The 19,277-nt window shown below is 33.0% G+C and overlaps 1 protein-coding gene across 13 annotated transcripts in view; it reads right to left on the bottom strand.

Moving 5' to 3' along the window:
* Positions 1-19,277, bottom strand: part of EPHA5 (EPH receptor A5) — a 350,923-nt gene that overhangs the window by 281,212 nt on the left and 50,434 nt on the right. For all 13 annotated transcript variants that reach the window (NM_001437320.1, NM_001437321.1, NM_001437313.1 and 10 more), the window contains exon 3: positions 863-1,526. In NM_001437320.1, coding sequence (NP_001424249.1) covers positions 863-1,526 — 664 coding nt within the window. The remainder of the gene's footprint in view (positions 1-862; positions 1,527-19,277) is intronic.

A 19,277-nucleotide genomic window follows, 5' to 3' on the forward strand; every position in this document is an offset into this window, starting at 1 on the left:
GCTGCTTTCTTTCCCATAAACTGCTCTTCGTTTTGATATAAAATACTCCCCTGTTCCAGAAAGCCATTGACAAATTTCCAGTTTAAACGGCCAACTCACCACACTGCGGGCAAAATGAGGGCATTTTCAAAGGAAGAGAGAAGCATGCATGATCAAGTTTCAATTTAAAAGAAAAATAAAAACAGAAAAAAAAATCCCCCAGGGCAAATTGCTTTAAAATGACCTTTTGTATTGGTTCTATCTTCAAATAGTTATTTTTGTGGGGCACTGCTTATTATGCATTTAAAAATATCTGTAATTTTTAAAAAGCAAGCATGTAATTACAACCATAAGTAAACAACACAGTAAACTAATCCTGTCAGTTTACAAATGTTTTGCTATAAAGTTCATATGGCTGAACTTTTTTTCTGAAGAATTTTTAAAAGGCAGTTAAAAACATGCCAAAACTAGTCTAATCTAAGATTTTGCATTTAAATTTTATACAGCAAATAAAGAGTAGAAAATAAGTTCATGGAGAGAAAATAGATGTAGCAGACAATAATTATACAATGAAGGTTACTAGTCCCTTGGTTTGAGTTTTTCAAAAATAAAATTTCTAAAAGCAAAGTGAATATGAAATATTACACTGCAAGTCAGACACTCTCTGAGTATTAATTATGTATATCCAATAAAATATTACATTAAATCTTTCACGGTTGCCAGAAATTTTAAAATTCTGAAAAGAGAAAAATAAAACTTGAGAGAAATAATCTCCATAAATTAGCAAAGTAAAAGGTCATTTCCTCATAATCATTGGAGGAAATACATATACATGATCCAACTGAAGCAGACAGCCCCTGCAGATCTGGAGGCAAACTCTTACCTTGACAGGTGCCATTTTTCTCTTCATATCCTGCCTTGCACATGCATTTCCCGATGGGCACCAGCCACTCCCCTTCGGCGCTGCAGTGCATTTTGGGAGGTTCATCGGTCACAGAATGGTTGACACAGGAGCCTGACACTTCGAGCAATTGGGAAGAATCAGCTCCAGTGATGGTGTCAGGGAAGACAGCCAAGTGTCGTACCACAGAAGGGCATTTTTTATAGTATACACGCACAGAAACCAGAGCAATGCAAGCACCAACATCTTGAAAAGCAAGATAAAATCCCTTTTTGCTTAGAGGTCCTACATCTCTGACCTCTGTATTCAGTTTCATAACACGGTCACCAAGATCAAGTTCTGTAAAGCTTTCATCGGCAGCAATGGTATCAATTTTGATGTATTGGTTTTCCTTGATGTTTCTCCCATTCTGATCATCTGACTCAAAGTAATACATATTAAAGGTTTCCTTACAGGTCCCCAGTCCTCCAGGAAGGCTGTTGCAGTCCCGCAGGGTAAATTTGAGTTCTATGAAGATTCTGGAAGCACCTTCATTGGAGATCCAACTGGTCAAAAGCCAGTTATTCTGATTCTGTTCCATCACTTTGCATACTTGGTATGTGTGGATAGGGGCATAATTTTCATCCACTTCACCAATCTCTTCCCACTGTACAATATAAAATAGAAAGATAAAAAAAATTCAAAAAATAGAAAATAACAAGGAACTATAGCAAAAATTATAAAAGAAAACTAACTGAGATATAGAAATATTCGTATCCTCAATATGTGATATTTACAGAAGGAACTAGATATAAAGTATTGGGAGAAGAGAATCACAAATTTTTATTGTAATTTTTAAATTAAAAGTAAATTAAGAAATTATTATTCTTCATCTCCAACATAACTCCAAGACGAACACATATGAATATGCCCCAGGGCAGGAAGGAACCATGCATTTCAGAGTAAAAGTAAAAGAAATTTAAACGTGGGTGAGGTTAACAAAATGAAGCAAAGAAAGAAAAATATGTATATTTTGAATAAAGTTCAGCATATACATAAATAGGGTAGAATACAAGAAATGCAATTAAAAAAATGAAATAAGGGATAAAAGGATCGCAAATTTGAAAAAGAAGGGAGAAAAATGTAATATAAAAACAGTCATTTATTTAAATCTGTCATGTCACAAATAACACACCAATGGAATAAAAGTTGAAAGAAAATCCTTTAGTTTAAAATTAATAATAGATCTTTATTTCACTGAACCCATCTATTCAGGACTCTCACAAATTGGCTAGCTAAATATTAATTCATAGATTTATCTACATATATAAACATGGAGACAGATATGAAAGAAAGATTAAAAATTACAGATTAAGAATATGGATAGCCTTGTCATTTTGAATATTAGCTAACTTCTTGCGATATGTTGGGACCCCATTAATTCTTTCTTACCAAGGCATTATTTTATGCATATGGCCTTAAGAGTTCTGAAGATATACAGGACGTAAAAAAAATTAAGTACAATTTATATAGCTTCCAAAATATTATTTGGCCAAAGAAGAGTTCTAAACCTATCTCTTTCCTAATAAAATACTCCAGTTTTGAGAATCTCGATGTACCATAACCATTTCCTGAACGGTACAGAGCCAAATTTTTATTTTTCATAAAGAAGTAATTATAATTTAAGGAATTTCTGAAGCCTGTAAAAAAATCTGTGTGTACAAAAGTGATATATAATTTTAAATCTTTAAAATACCACTGGAACACAAAGAACAATGAAACCATACTGACTTTCAAAAAATCCAGAATGTGTGATTTCAGACATTAAGTATTGTAGATAAAAAAAACTTCATAGACACTCATTTCTTTAGACATGAAATTAAATATAGCATTATTTCTTGATTCTGTTCTAAAAGCAAAGATGTGAAAAATGCAAGGCACAAAGGATGCAAATAAATCTTATACATCAGATGGCTCCTCTCGAAATCTAGCTGCAACATCAGACAGACATAAGCAAAAGGTGCTAATGAGGTAAAACTGTTGAGCTCCTTAAATTCACAAGAGAGAGACATGAAGATTTTATCTTGCCAAACAATTTCCATATATGTTATTACCTAAAGCCTCAGTTCTTTCACTAAATCTCATTTTTGTCCTCTCTCAAAATGTATATATACTCTACTTAGCTCCCTATTTTCTAAACCAGATATCTATTGCAGCACTCCATAATTAAACTACTTACATTTTCTTTCCAATGTGATTTAAGTATCAATCTCTTTATATTATAAATGGCACCAAATATTATGATCAATATTTCATGCAAAAGAATATGTCAACTAACCAAATAAAATGGTAAGAATTATCAATTTACCATAATAAGATTAAATATATATTTTTTGAATTAGTCAAATGAAAGATATCAAAAATCTCTTCTCTATAAAAAGAAAATAAAACACAAATATGTATATTTTTTGCCTTGAATCACTTATTGATGACCTATTTCTGGACAATATATTCTAGTAGGATCCTCCTAGCAAGTAAAAGCAAGCAGAATAACAGGATCTTTCAAGATTATAAGCCAAGCAATTCAGCCTTTGTCTGTACAAAGTCCAGGGTACCACAAATACTATTAAAAATGCAAGCCAAGCAGCACTTGACAAGATAGCTTAATAGTTACTGCTTCAGGTGATAATTTCAAAGTATGTGCATAAGCATCTTGCTTCTCTGAATATTCTCAGTTAAGAAGATGGAAACTATAATTTTCTTTGAATTCAGAAACTGTCATGGTGAGATTTTATTTATTTTTCTTTTCAAGTACCCAAAACATAAATGATGGCTCACATTTAATATTTCTAGTGAGCAAATAGAATGAGTTTAATTTAAATAATTATGGCCATAAGCCATTCAGAGAATCACATGGGTAATATATCCATCTCTAATATCTGCTGTCATTGAGACACATATACTAAGAAATTGACAGAAAGATTTTATTTTAGGCTGGCTCTCTGAAATAAAACTTTGAATTTTTCTAAGCTTTCTTTCCCCTTTAACATGAAGAGAATATCTTGCTGTCCTCAGCAAAAATCAGGTATGTAAAAAAAAAAAAACCAAGAGGATGAAGAGAAAGTAACACTCACCAAGAACTTTAGAATGTGGCAGACGTATTCCTAGACACTTTTACAAATGTCATGTACAGGATATTACAGTAACTTAATAAAAGGCACAGATAGGAATCAATATTTTCTGTTCATTTTTGTTGGATTTTCCATGACTTCATGATTTAATAAAAATATTTGCTGATCCTTCGATTACTAGAAGTTGTGAGCCTGGACATTTTGGAAGCATGGATTGCTGAATGCAATATGATGGCTGTAGCTCTGCTCTTTAGGTCTAGCAATTATTCAATGCCATCCCCTGAGCCCATGCTTTCCTGTACGTTTATTTCCTCCTTATTGCCCATTCTTTCCCGTTAAGAATAAATAACTGGTTACGCAGCTTGGGTTTGCTTGATTTATCTCCCAGATTCTTAGGGTTACTCCTTTTCCCTCAGGGCTCTGAAAATTCCAGGTCAGTTGCGTTCTAAACCCATTGCTGGCCAGGCATCTCACATCAGCCACATTCATCAGAGAAGGGTCGGGGGAAGAAAGAACTTACTTTCATAACCATATGTGTATCATGCAGTTACAATGTTTTTCTACCCAAGCCGTTAGGAACTAGTTTCTCCCCATCTGCCTCTCATTGCTCTCTTGGCCTTCTGGTATCAAGCGCCTGCTGTTTCCTACCTTGTTGGCATTGCTCTCCTTTCCAGATCCCCAGCCTATACATCGTTTTTTCATGAAGAGCTTGAAAATACTGACTCATGACACATGGGCTGGACCAGAAATCCCTCTTACATTATGTCCCCAAATTCACAGTAGGAAGCATCATGTGAACAGAGACAATTTTAACCTTTCAAGTTATTAGGGGTGCCCATTATCTAGTTCTGTTTTCATTATTATGTTTCTATTTATCTTGATTCTATATCGAGAGTGATCTATTGAGGCTAAGGTGCAACAGTAAGAAACTTTGGAGTAGACATCTGAAAAAAAAAATGGCACTGTATGGGTCTTGTATAGAAGAAAAGTACAAGCCCGAAGCTCTAGTTTTAGTCCCAGCTCTTATAATATCTAGATATATAAGCTGAGATCCAATCTCTGGCATAACAACTATGCAACTCTGTAATGAGAATGAAAGCTCTCTATCCTAGGCATCTAATATTCAATAGAGAACATCACAAAGAGCCTTAAAAGAGCCAGTCCTATTGTTCATTTTAGAAATAAGAAATTGAAGACCAGACCAAAAAAAAAGGATTTACTCAAGTTCACACAAGACCAAGCTGACTACCTGGGCATCTCCTTTGCCCATATCTTCCTTTGTCTTCTTGTCAGCATGTCTCTGCCTCAAAGGGTGGATTTGTGCATGGGATTCCTTGATTCGTTGCATTAATTGCTACACAACATTTTTTCCAGACGTCATGTAACCATCAATAAGTCTTTTTTTTCTTTTGCTATATATTTTAATACTCAACCCCAATATGAGGGAGAGGCAGGCATGCATGATTTTCTTATCGTCAACTGTATCTTAGAGTCTGATACAACAGGGCACAGAGTAGGGCACTTGATATACATTTTATAATGAATGAATTAATATCAAACATATACATATAACTTCTTAATTCAGAGATCCCACTAATTTGGAATAATTCAAACATATTGAATAAATAGTTAAATGTTTTGTGCTATCTTTAAAACAAGAAAATACATTTTCTTCTCTGTAAATCGTCAGAATTTTATAAGAGCAAATTAGAAAGGTTTATAAAAGCAGATTAAAAATTAGTTTGGTAATTCTTAATTAAAAACACTAAGTATTTATTAAAAGAGATTGTCTTATTTCCATTGTTGATACAATTTTTATGAGTTTAGTTTTGCCTATTAACCTGTTGAATGATTTTTCACTAGCATTACATTTTACTAATTGTAACTGATAACTAAGTTTATTTTATTTGTGAGCCTATGTTTTCAAAATAAGTTTTTATTTTGTCACTCAGTAGTCTTCTTCACCATTCTGTGTAAATCAAAAGCCCAGAATATAGCATATCGGTTCAAGGAACTATGGACATATTTCATATTTCAGTCAAATAATATTACGACCATCTTAGGGATTTCCTTTGCAGAATTACATAAAAATCTGGCAAAGAATCAATTGCCTGCAGCTTTACTCTGACATGACCAAATCATAACTTTCTAGGAAGACCTTGTTTATCACCTAACTGCCTCTTTAAATACAGGGAAAGCTGTTCTTCACACTTTGAGTCACATATTTTAAATATAATATCTTCTCAAGTTCCTCAAAACTACATAAAATATAGGTTTTAAATTTAAAATATTTTTATATATCATTTATTGTGATTTTCATTGTGCAAATGTGTGTGGTATGTTTTGTTTCACACACTAAGTTTTGCTAACTTTACTGAAGATATCCTGATTTCAAATTACTAACTCACTGATGTTTTTTTTAAAGATATAAACCTAATACCTAAAACCATAAAAACCCTAGAAGAAAACCTAGGCAATACCATTCAGGACATAGGCATGGGCAAATAATTCATAACTAAAACACCAAAATCAATGGCAACAAAAGCCCCAAATTGACAAATGAGATATAATTAAAGAGCTTATGCACAGCAAAAGAAACTATCATCGGAGTGAACAGGCAACCTACAGAATGGGAGAAAATTTCTGAAATCTACCCATCTGACAAAGGGCTAATATCCAGAATCTACCCCCCAAAAAATACAAAAACAAACAAACAAACAAACAAAAAAAAAAACATCAAAAAGTGGGCAAAGGATACGAACAGACACTTCTCAAAAGAAGACATTTATGCAGCCAACAAATATGCGAAAAAAAGCTCATCATCACTTGTCATTAGAGAAACGCAAATCAAAACCACAGTGAGTTACCATCTCATGCCAGTTACAATGGCGATCATTAAAAAGCCAGGAAACCACAGATGCTGGAGAGGGTGTGGAGAAATAGGAACACTTTTACACTGTTGGTGGGAGTGTAAATTAGTTCAACCATTGTGGAAAACACTGTGGCAATTCCTCAAGGATCTAGAACCTGAAATACCATTTGACCCAGCAATCCCATTACTGGGTATATATCCAAAGGATTCTAAATCATTCTATTATAAAGACACATGCACATGCATGTTTACTGCAGCACTGATCACAATAACAAAGACATGGAAGCATCCCAAATGCCCATCAATGTTAGACTGGATAAAGAAATGGTCACATATATACACCATGAAACACTGTGCAGCCATACTAAACGATGAGTTCATGTCCTTTTCAGGGACGTGGATGAAGCCAGGGAGTGGGCGGCTAGGGGAGGGATAGCATTAGGAAAACTACCTAATGTAGATGATGGGTTGATGGGTGCAGCAAATCACCATGGCACGTGTATTACCTATGTAACAAACCTGCACGTTCTGCACATATATCCCAGAGCTTAAAGTATTTTAAAAAAGCAGTACCACCCCATGATTTTAGAAAGTGCCTGGCGCCTGTAATCCCAGCACTTTGGGAGGCTGAGGTAAGTGGATCACGGAGGTCAGGAGATCGAGACCATCCTGACTAACACGGTGAAACCCTGCCTCTACTAAAAACACAAAAAATTAGCCGGGCGTGGTGGTGGGCACCTGTAGTCCCAGCTACTTGGGAGGCTGAGGCAGGAGAATGGCATGAACCCATGAGGCGGAGCCTGCAGTGAGCCGAGATTGCGCCACTGCACCCCAGCTTGGGCGACAGAGCGAGACTCCATCTCAAAAAAAAAAAGAAAAAAAGAAAAAAGAAAATGCCTGGGAACAGTTTTACTACACACTAAAATTTGAAATTCAGACACTGGCTTCCCAAATGCTCAAACAATAAAGAGTCAAATAAAAGTGCAAACTTCATCTTGGGTTATAATCCTTTGAAAGATATTGTGTGCTAATTTAAAGGTGATCCTGGAAGAAGAGTTTAAATATATAGATCAATTTTAGATCAATTTTCCTGTTATGCAATGCATGCATGACATAATTATACTGCAGAATAAACTGCATCTTTTTGCAGATGAGTAAACTGAGGCCACAAACAACTGGCATACTAATTAGGGCCTAATTAATGTCTACAATTAGAAATCTGTGCTTATAAATTATTTTTTCTCTTTTTTAGGGGTTAAAATTACTATGCATAAAATATAAGGCCACTCGAGGTCATTTTAATGAACGAAAGATTCATTACCTAATGAACTAGGTATTTATGTTTTCAAAAGACAAAATTATGTGCCCTTGTTGTAGAATTATAGCTTCCATCCTCCTTGTTCACTTTCCTTATTTTGGATCAAGAAAAAAATGGGCAATCCATTGGGCAACAGAAGCATCTCTATTTTTACATATAACAACAAGAAAAATGTGGTTTTAAAAGAATAAAACATGTAGCACAGTTTCTGTTTTAGAAATTCAAATTCTCTAATAGCTATGATTCTTTAGAAAATAAATATGACAAAATATATCAGCTTTCAGCAAAAATCATTTGAATCAAAACCTTGTTATATTTCCTCAATATTATGTTAGTGGGAAAAAAAGACTTGCATCAAGTAGGAGTTTGAGTTGTTCAAAACATCTTTAAAATTCGTAAGTATGATGCAGCAGTATTGCTAGAAATGACTCTATTAATTTTCTGTGTATGAAATAAAACTGAATTTGATTACTTTATTGCCTGTGGAATAGTACAAATATTTATGAGCTCAAATTCAATTCATAATACAAATGAAATCACTTGAGAAACACAGAGATTAAAACTTTCAGGTTAATATTAATCTTTTTGCAGCAAAATTCACAGACAATTGAGCATCTATTTTCAACAGTAAATGTGAATGGCAAGCTAGATATTTTTTTTTCAACCTGGAGGAAAAAAATCAGTTTTTTTTTTTTCATTCAATGTTGTCATTGTATTTTTTCAAAAACGTATGGATCCTTTCCTCATTAATTCCTTTAACAATTATCCAAGTGCAGAAGCAATAAATGGAAGGATGGAAAAATCAAAAGTAGCATATCAGATAAAATACACACAATTAGAACAGTTTATGATTTAATCAAGAAAAGTATTTCTTAGTTAAATATCATGATGAACATAATATGCAAACAAAAAAAACCCAAAAAGCATATATATAGACTGATTATGTATTTATTATGTATTTATTGCTATTCTACTTTTAATGAGAGATATTAAACAGTTTCTCATTATATAAAATGATCAAAGATGTCATAAACACTTCAAATTTTAAAATAAGGCATTCAAAAAGACATATGAACTCATATGTTCATTGCAGCACTATTCACAACAGCAAAGACAAGGAATCAACCAAGATGCCCATCAACAGCGAACAGGATAAAAAAATGTGGTAAATATAGACTATGGAATAGTCTATATTGGAATAGTCTAATAGTCTATATATGGAATAGTCTAATACACAACCATTAAAAAGAATGAGATCCTGTCCTTTGCAGCAACATGGATGCAGTTGGAGGCCATCATCCTAAGCAAACTAACACAGAAACGGAAATCCAAATACTGCATGTTCTCATTTAAACACTGAATACACAGGGACACAAAGACAGGAACAACAGACACTAGGGACTGCTTGACAGAGGAGTGTGTGTGGCTGTATGGGTTGGAAGGCTGCCTATCCGGTACTATGCTCACTATCTGAGTGACTGAATCATCTATACACCAAGGCTGTGTGACATGCAGTTTCCCCATGTAACAAACCTGCACATGTGCCCCGAGAACCTAAAATAAAAATAGAAGAATAAACAAATTAATTAATTAATTAATTAAACAAATAAAATGGGATATTTTTCCTTGAAAAATTTACTAATAAGAACAAATGCAAACTATCAGTCAATAATAATTTTAAAAGAATGAGCAAACTAGGTAACCATGCCTGAAATTAACAAATTAATAAACTGAATAAAATCTTAAATGATCTCATTATTGTTTTATAAAAAGCAACCCTATTGTATAGGGTACATGTGATCTAATTTGTCAGTAATGAGTGCCATGAGTTATAATTTTAAAAGATGCAAATAACAAATAGGTTTATAAACCACTGATCTAGTTTAGTTCCATTATGGTACCACTGTATATGGAGACACCTTCATACTTAGGTGATGGTAGCCTCCCACTATGTATTTTTCATCATGCTATGCCAAGAGATGATTAGGCCAACATTTGATATCATGTAACTGTAGCAACAGAAATAAGCTTTTGTGTACTATTATGAAGGTTTACATAGTTGGTGAGTTTATATCTTTCTTAAGAGTGATTGCAATCTCAATTATATATTATTTAAGATGGAGTACAAATTTACCATGTAGATTTTAAGGTATTTCGTGTTTCAGGACTTCAAATGACAAACACATATATGCACACATGGGCACACACCCACGATTAAGAATTCCTTTGCAACAGTCATTGTGAGACATTAGAGATGGTCCTTTTAGTGATATTTCAATATATTTCAGTATATATTTCAATATATTTCGGTATATTCTCAGTAAGATGTAAATTGAAAAGTAACATAATTGGTACTCTTTAATATAAATATTGCACTGTCCTGTTATAGATAGCTGTAAATTCTGTGGGGAAGCCTTATTTTCAAAGCAGAATGAAAGTTCCAGTAAGTAAGGGAAAAGAAACTATTTCACTTGGGATTCAGCTTAATGAAAATAAAGTAGATTAGCCTTTGGTGCACTTAATGTTTCAGGCAAAATAAATACAATTACACCCTTGTTGTTCTGGCAAAAAAAAAAAAAAAAAAGGTTTCAGTAAACCATGTGCAACTCTTGATCTCTTGATTATATATCCACTCTATAAAATATATCCGAAAATATAATGCTGCCTGTGCTCTCTGTTCTTTTTTCAGTCCTCATTTTTCAGTAGATAATATTATGCTTCTGATGCAAGATTTGACAACAGCACCCATAAATCAATTCTATATCTCACATTAATGATGTTCTTGTAATCAGTGGCTATTCAACACAAATTTCCATCGCATTTTTTTTTGTTGGAAAACAGCCACATTAGGGCTGTTAGCTTTCTCAAATGTAAGTGGCTATATTGCCATAATACATAATAAAGTGCACTCCAGCCACTTGCCAAAGCAGTATTAAAGACATTCTATAGAAATTGAGGCTATCCAGGAGGATGGCGTGAACCTGGCAGGCGGAGTCTGCAGTGAGCCGAGATCAGGCCACTGCACTCCAGCCTGGGCGATAGAGCGAGACCCTCTCTCAAAAAAAAAAAAAAAAAAAAAAAGGAAAGAAAAGAAAAGAAAAGAAAAGAAAAGAAATTGAGGCCATCTACTGTCAGTACGTTGTCCAGTCAGCAGCTGGCATTTCCATAGAGAATGGCTTTATTTTTAATTTTTTAAAACAGATTTAGGAGGTATAAGTGCTCTTTTGTTGCATGGATATACTGCATAGTGGTGAAGTCTGGGTCTTTTGTGTAACCATCACCGGAATAGTTACCCATTAAGTAATTTCTTAATGTTAATGGTAACATTGTGGCCCATTAAGTAATTTCTCATCCCTCATCCCCCTCCCACCCTCTCACCTTGCCGAGTTTCCAAAACTTATTATTCCACTCTCTATATCCGTGAGTACACATTATTTAGCTACCACTTATAAGTGGGAACATCTGGAATTTGACTGTTTCTGAACTGTTTCACTTATGATAATGGCCTCTAGTCCCATTCATGTTTCTGCAAAAGACATTACTTCATTCTTCTTTATTATTGAGTAATATTTCACTGAATACATATGCCACATTTTCTTTATCCAATCATCCTTTGATGAACACTTAGGTTAATTCTATATCTCTGCTATTGGGAATAGTGCGGTGAGAAACATAGAGGTACAAGAATATTCTTGATGCAATGATTTATTTTCCTTGTGTGCTTTCTTTTGCAAAATATCTGTTCACTTTTTAATAAGGTTATTTGTGTTGTTTCGGGGTTGTTATTGTTTCTGTTCCTTGTAGATTCTGGATATTAGTCCTTTGTCAGATACATAATTTGCAAATTTTTTTCCATTCTTCAAGTTGTCTATTCAGTCTGATGATTATTTATTTATTTTGCTGTGCTGAAGCTTTTTAGTTTAAATAAGTTCCATTTATCATTTTTGTTTTTGTTGCATTTGTTTTTGAGGTCTTAATCATGCATACTTCAACTAGGCCAATGTCCAGAAGAGCTTTCCATGGTTTTGCTTAGGATTTTATAGTTTCAGGTCATACATTTAAATCTATAATCCATCTTGGGTCCATTTTAATAGACAGTAGAAAATAGGGGTCCAATTTCATTTTTCTGCGTATAGCAATCCAATTTTCCCAGTACCATTTATTGAATAGGGTGTCCTAATCTCGGTATATGTTTTCATCAACAATGTCAAAGATCGGTTGGCTGTAGGTCTGTGACTTTATTTCTGGGACTCTATTCTGTTCCACTGATCTATCTGTCTATTTTTATGCCTGTATCATGCTGTTTTGGTTATTACATACTTGTAGTATAATTTGAAGTTAGGTAATGTGATGCCTCCAGCTTTATTCTTTTTGCTTAGAATTCCTTTGACAATTTGGGCTCTTTTGAGAGGTCATATAAACTATATAATTTTTTGTCTAATTCTGTGAAAAATAGTGTTGATATTTTTTATAGGAATTGCATTGAATCTGCAGATTGCTTTGGGCAGTATGGTCATTTTAACTGTATTGATTCTTCCAATCCATAAGAATGGGATGATCTTCAATTTGTTTGTGTCATCTATGGTTTATTTCATCAGTGTTCTGTAGTTTTCCCTGTAGAGATTTTTTTAGCCACTTAGTTAAATATATTAAGAATTCCAGTGCTTCTCTATTTGAGATAGAAGTAAATGAACAGCCATATGTCTATTGCAAATTCCTCCTCCTGGATTTTGTTAAGCTTGTGTCTGGCCAAAAAGTTAATATCAACCAAAAGCATACTTTTGAATAAATGTATACCTCACTTATGGAAGTTTAAAATGTTTAGTGATAGCTCTCCAATGACAATTCTAAATATTTAGTGTTTATGTTTTTTGATCATTAATTGAATGCAAATTTAATTCTGACCAACATTAGACCATAGAAGTTTACAATAGGGATTGACTATCTGAAGACAGTGATTGATCAACATTTACAGAATTTTTTATCTATCAACAATCGATATATTTTGTTGCACTTTAATATTTTACTTGAGAATTACTATAAAAACAGATGTTTCTACGAATGCCAAGAATTCTAGAAAAATATGATATATTTACAGATTTAGTGAAGTTGAAACATTAAAAAAATTAAGTCTTCACATTTATTATTCCTACTGGCGTCTTCTGTCAACTTGTTCCTTGTCTCACTATATTGTCCCTTAATTATTTTGAGGCCTGTTGCTTAGGTTATCAATCACAGATGGGAATAGTAAAATTAATTTTTCAGTGTGATTTTAGCCTTAATATTAAAACAAGCTGTTAACTGCCTTTTTCTCTGCTTATCAACACAATCCCTTTTGCCAATGTATTCTCATAACAGAAAACATACATAGAGCAAATGCAGATAACCAGTAAATCTAGTTATAGTAAAGAAACAGAATGTTTTAACATAATATCTTAGATATTATTTCATACTTTTACATCTATTTGTATATGAGCAAACTGAACTCTTGATATGATAAGGAAGCTATGCATAGAAGGTAAATGTCCCTGACCTCCCTTTATTATTCTGTTTGCTGTATCTGATAGTTTGTCAGCTATGTAAGTCCATCCTTTAGCAAAGATGGATTAGAGGGCTCCTGGATATCACAAGCTCTTAATAATATTTCTTCACCCTACTTTGGCTATTTATGCTAAATATAGGCTAATGCTTCATACATTTAACTGACTGTTTATTAGGAGAAAACCTGGCAGAAATTGAATCAAGTGATATAAAGGCAATAGGGAAGAAGTACTCTTCTATGCTCCTGCTGGGAGTATATATTAGTAGCCAGCTTTGGGAAGTGTTTGGAAATATATGGTGCATTTAAAAGTGTTTTAAACCTGGGATCTTTACATGATTCTAAAGATACATATGCCAAAGTAAGTCTGAAACACTGTAATGATCAAAAAGAAAGTACTAATGTCATCAACAATAGAAATAAATAAATGTGTTATATTCATGCTATAAATCATCATACAAGAGTTAATAGTAATTGTTATATGGAGTTTACAAGTATATAATAAAGAAAAATGTAAAATTTATAAAACAGCAAAATATACTTTACAAAGAATGCAATTATGCTAAATTGTGTTTTGTTACATTCATAACAAAGTGATAAAGTATAAAATGAACTGGAAAAATACACTAAATTCATTATCAGAAGCTTATAGATCTCTAGGAAAAATAAAATATATCATATTAACATATATGTAATGAAAGTCTCAAAAGAAGGAGTAAGAGAAAAAAATGGCAGGTACAATAGTTGATTAAATAGCAAGTATTTTACAAATTTGATTTAAAAACTTAGGTAGAAATACAAAATGCCTGCTGAAACCAATTGGGGTACATACAAAAGTTCATGCCTAGATACTTGAACATGATAAAAGCTAAAACATTTTTGAAAATTTTGAAAGCAGCAAGAGGAAATCAACTCAGTAGAGAGGAACAAGAATATGACAATAAGCTGACACCACAGATGAAACAATGAAGGCCAGAAGAAAATAGAATGACATAGTCAAAGTGCTAGAAAAACAATACTATCAACCAATAATTCTATATCTAGCAAACCTACCTTCCAAATGAAAGATCACTCAAAACTCACAGTAAAACATATAAAACACAAATCGCTGAGAAAGTACAGAAAATACATGAAAAGACAATACTGAAAAGTGTATAAATATGGGAAATATGCTTATGAAATGATGCTAAATGTCATTAGCCATCAGGGAAACTCAAATTAAAGCTCCAATGAGATGTCACCATACCCCTATTTGAAATGAATAAAAAATCATTTTTAATAGTGACAACAACCAATGCTGATGAGAAAGTGAAGAAACTGGAATACCTATATATTGCTGGTGGAAACATAAAATGGTACAGGCACATGGATAACAGGAAATTTCATATTAAATTAAATCTGAAATTGCCATTAAAAGGAGCAATTTCACTCTTCAACATCTATACCTGGTAAATAACAACTTACGTCCACAGAAATACCTGTACATGAATGTTCATAGCAGTTTTGTTTATGGTAGCCGAAAACTGGAATCAGCCTATGTGACCTTCAGTGAGCAAATGGTTAAACAAACTGTAGTACATTATATATCATGGAATACGACTCAACAATAAAAAGAAACAAACTATTGATAAAAGAAGGAACTGATGAATCTCCAGGGAATTATGCTGAGTGAGAAAAATCATACACAAAACGTTAATACTTTATGACTCAATTTTTATAATATTTTTAAAATAAAATTTTAGAAGTGGAGAAGAGCTGAGTAGTTACCAAAAGTTAGATCTGCGGATGAGGGAAGAAGTAAACAAGAAATATATGAGAGTGGTCATAAAAGGATGACATGAAAGATCTTGTGGCATTGTCTCTGTTTGGTATCATACAGGTGGTGACTACACAAACTTACACAGATGATGAATTGTACAGACTTAATGCATACACACACACACACACACACACACACAGAGAGAGAGAGAGAGAGAAGAGCATTAAGAGAAGGGAGAATTGAGATATACAGGATGAAAGGTCAGGAGAAGTTGTTACATAATTAATGATCAATAAAAACAAAAATTATAATTCAGATTTACCTGACTTCAAAGCTCATATTTCAACTCACTACACCATGATGCTTCACAAAATAAGATAAAGAGTATGGGAAAACAGTCATTCCGAGGCAGACTAATGAATGGAGTAAATGAAGCCTCTTTGATATTCTTTCAAAGGCACATTCATTTTTTTATTCCCCAAATTCTACTCTGCATTTATTTCTCTATACTTTGAATTAAAACTTAAGTACTTATTAAAGTAATATTGCTTAAATTATTTACTATACAACTATAATCTCACTAAATATTTCATAGAAAACAAATGTTCTTTAGGGAAACAACAATGAAGCTCTTCCTGGTTTATCTATTTGCAAGATATTAAGTTGAAATCTTTGTGAACTCTGTGAATATCTGTAAAGTAAATCTGCATAGTATGCAATATGTATAGAAAAGCGATACAGTAAATTATACTATTTGGTTTTATATAATATTTCCCAAACTTGTATTGTGGGATAACTCTTTTGTTAATAACACACATTTACATTTTTCTGTACATCTCCATATTTGGAGAAATTCTAAGTTATGACAGTGGCTGACAGCTGCTAAGAGACCACACTTATTCTACTAAGTGTGGTCATTTAGTGAAATACCATATCATATTATCTTAAATCCTGTTTACTCCTCTTACACGCATTTTTCATTGCACCTGATTTATGCTACATTGTCAGTGTACACATTTGTATCCCCCAATGGATTCATTCTCTTGCCCCAATTTTGTCATTGGGGCAAACCTGTGATCAATTGTTGGTGTATCGCCCTCTCCATCACCAGTATTATGTCTAGGGAACTGGATATATTTAATACCTGTTGGCTGAATTTATGCATGTAAAAATGAAAGAATGAATGAATAGATGAATTAATGAAAATGCCAACAGCGATTTTCTTTACTTTTATTGCTTTACTGGTAGTGTACTGGGATCTACAGCAGGGAAACAGAAAGACCTTTTGAATAACAATTACTTATCCCTCCTTTTCCTAGAAGTAATTTGGTCAAAGAACACTTGGCATGTCAACTCTGAAATGTTGCCAGCCTTTTGGTCTGGCCACTATTTTTTTCTTCTCAATAATAACTGCCACTAGAAGAATAGTAAAGAAAGAAGGAAAGTTAAACTCAATTCTGTCACATGTTTTTAAGAGTTGATAGCTCCAGGGAAGGTTTTATAGTGAAGAGAATTGAATCTAGTTGGAAAAGGGTACTACTTGAATCACTGTGAATTTCATTTATCTGCGTATCTCTATTCCTAATTATCACTAGGAAGTGACAGTTGGCAAGCCCATAGAGGTCTCAGAAGATTATAAAATTCTATTAAATCATCACAAATGTTTCAATATAACATTTAAAAGCTTCAGCTCTTCATATAAATAAAAGTAGGGTTTATTATCATGTGAGATTGAGGCTTGATCTAACCAGTATTTTTCTTCTCCTCATATAAAATAGAATGTTAAAATTATTTGATGGTATCTGAAATTCCTATCTTGCCAGGGAACAAGACCTAATTAGTTGGGCTAAATGTAAAGTTCAAACACTGGGACACAGATTGTCTTCCACTTACCACCAGAGAAGGAGAACAAGAGCCCCAATGACCTCAGTTAACACATGCCAATTCACTTGGTCCAAATGAATACAGTAAATTAGAAAACTAAATACTAAAGTTTCTTTGATATATACCTGATAAGCTGTAGAATTTCATTAATTCTTTGATTATAATTACCACCCTTTTAACATGTAAATGGTATCAAAAGACAATTACTAGAAATTTAATTACTATAAAATGTAACAAAGCATATAATTATTGAAAAATTTTTAAAAGAAAAGAAAAAAATTTTACAAGTCTCTATATTCATAGTTAAATTTCTGCTTTAATTGAAAATATCAGTGTCTCTTTAATTAATTAGTTTTCACAAGAATTTAGAGCCATGTTTTAGATCTGATCACTCTACAGGATGATCAAGGTACAAACACTTTTTTTGACAATCTTCCCCTAAGTAGTTACTTTATTGCTTTATACAACCTTATTGCTGACAGAGTTCATTTCTGCTACGAATTTTACAGTAATACTAACATGCCCCAAATATGCTGGTTTGTGTTTTTCTTATATCTGGTGACAAAGTATAAACCTGAATTTTTTAGAAGATAATTGTATTTATAATTCTGTTAAGTTCCCATTGGAGACATTCCATTCATAACTATAGAGAGCCAATAAATGAGTAAAATACATCCTTGTCCTCATCAGAGAAGTCAGTTACAGAAAAGGCCATAAAAGAATAAACTAATTGGTTGGGCGCGGTGGCTCACGCCTGTAATCCCAGCACTTTGGGAGGCCTAGGCGGGTAGATGATTTGAGGTCAGGAGTTTGAGACCAGCCTGGCCAAAATGGTGAAACCCCGTCTCTATAGAAAACACAAAAATTAGCCGGGCATGGTGGCGGGTGCCTGTAATCCCAGCTACTCAGGAGGCTGAGGCAGGAGAACCACTTGAGCACAGAGGTTGCAGTGAGCAGAGATCGCGGCACTGCACTCCAGCCTGGAAGACAGAGTGAGACTCCGTCCAAAAAAAAAGAATAAACAAATTACATTTACAATCAGCTGGATGTTTACATTTGTACACTTATTGATAACACATTACTTCATAGACATTTGCACTAATCTATAATAAACAATTTAATATTCCCTACATAATTGAAAAACTATCTCTAACAGACAATGATTTATATTTGAGAAGTTAAGATTTTTCAGATTTTCAAAAACTAGTATTAGATATGTATATATAGGCATACACATACATTTAGGCATTTTTAAAAATATGGACTTTTTTTGAAGAAAGACATTAAATGAGGACCTTGGGATATTTAATAATGGATATAAAGCTTTATTCAACTTAGAATCAGTAACCATAAGGAATATATAACTACAAAACCTGTATATTGACATTAAACAATTAAATTTGATTTATGCAGCATGGTTTTAAAAAAGTATCACTAAATGAAAAATGAGTAAGGACTGGTGTACTTTTTTTCTCTTTAAACCATCTTAACTCATTTTCTTCTTCAGCTAAAATAACTTCAGGCTGACAGAATTAAACATTCAGCCAGAGAAATACTGAGTCTCATTAATTATTATATATATATGCCATATTTTCCTAAGTATCTATGTGCACAGAATTTCCATTCAATTTAATGAAGTTATACTTACATAAAAATACATACATGTCCAGAAAAATTAGCTTAGAATTTTTACATGTAAAATCTACTGTTTTTCTCTTTTTCCTTATATTTCTTTCTAAAACACTCATTCATAACAGTATATCTTCAATATTTTGTTTTAATTGATAATAATATTATAAAGTTTCTCCTTTTTTCATCCCTATGCTCAATTTGAATGACCCAGAACAGAGTTTTAAACACTAGTTTAATCATCAATAGTATCACAACCATCTCTGGTGTGTGTTAAAGAGCAAAT

The sequence above is a fragment of the Homo sapiens genome, chromosome 4 (genome assembly GCF_000001405.40).
Source record: "Homo sapiens chromosome 4, GRCh38.p14 Primary Assembly".
NCBI classification, from domain to species: Eukaryota; Metazoa; Chordata; class Mammalia; order Primates; family Hominidae; genus Homo; species Homo sapiens.